Source organism: Homo sapiens, chromosome 1 (genome assembly GCF_000001405.40).
Source record: "Homo sapiens chromosome 1, GRCh38.p14 Primary Assembly".
Classification (NCBI taxonomy): Eukaryota; Metazoa; Chordata; class Mammalia; order Primates; family Hominidae; genus Homo; species Homo sapiens.
The window spans coordinates 92,217,690-92,217,914 of NC_000001.11; positions in this window are offsets into that span (position 1 = coordinate 92,217,690).

Sequence of the window (225 nt, forward strand, 5' to 3'; positions counted from 1 at the left end):
TTGCATTTTTAGTAGAGACGGGGTTTCACCATGTTGGTACGCTGGTCTCAAACTTCTGACCTCGTGATCCGCCCACCTCGGCCTCCCAAAGTGCTGGGATTAGTGGCATGAGCCACCGCGCCAGGCCTACAAATCTTGTATCTTCTTAACCACTTCCGGCTTCCTGCAAACCTCGCTCTAGGGAGCCAGAAGCGCGGAAAAGGTTTGCGGGGTCTGCGGTTGCGC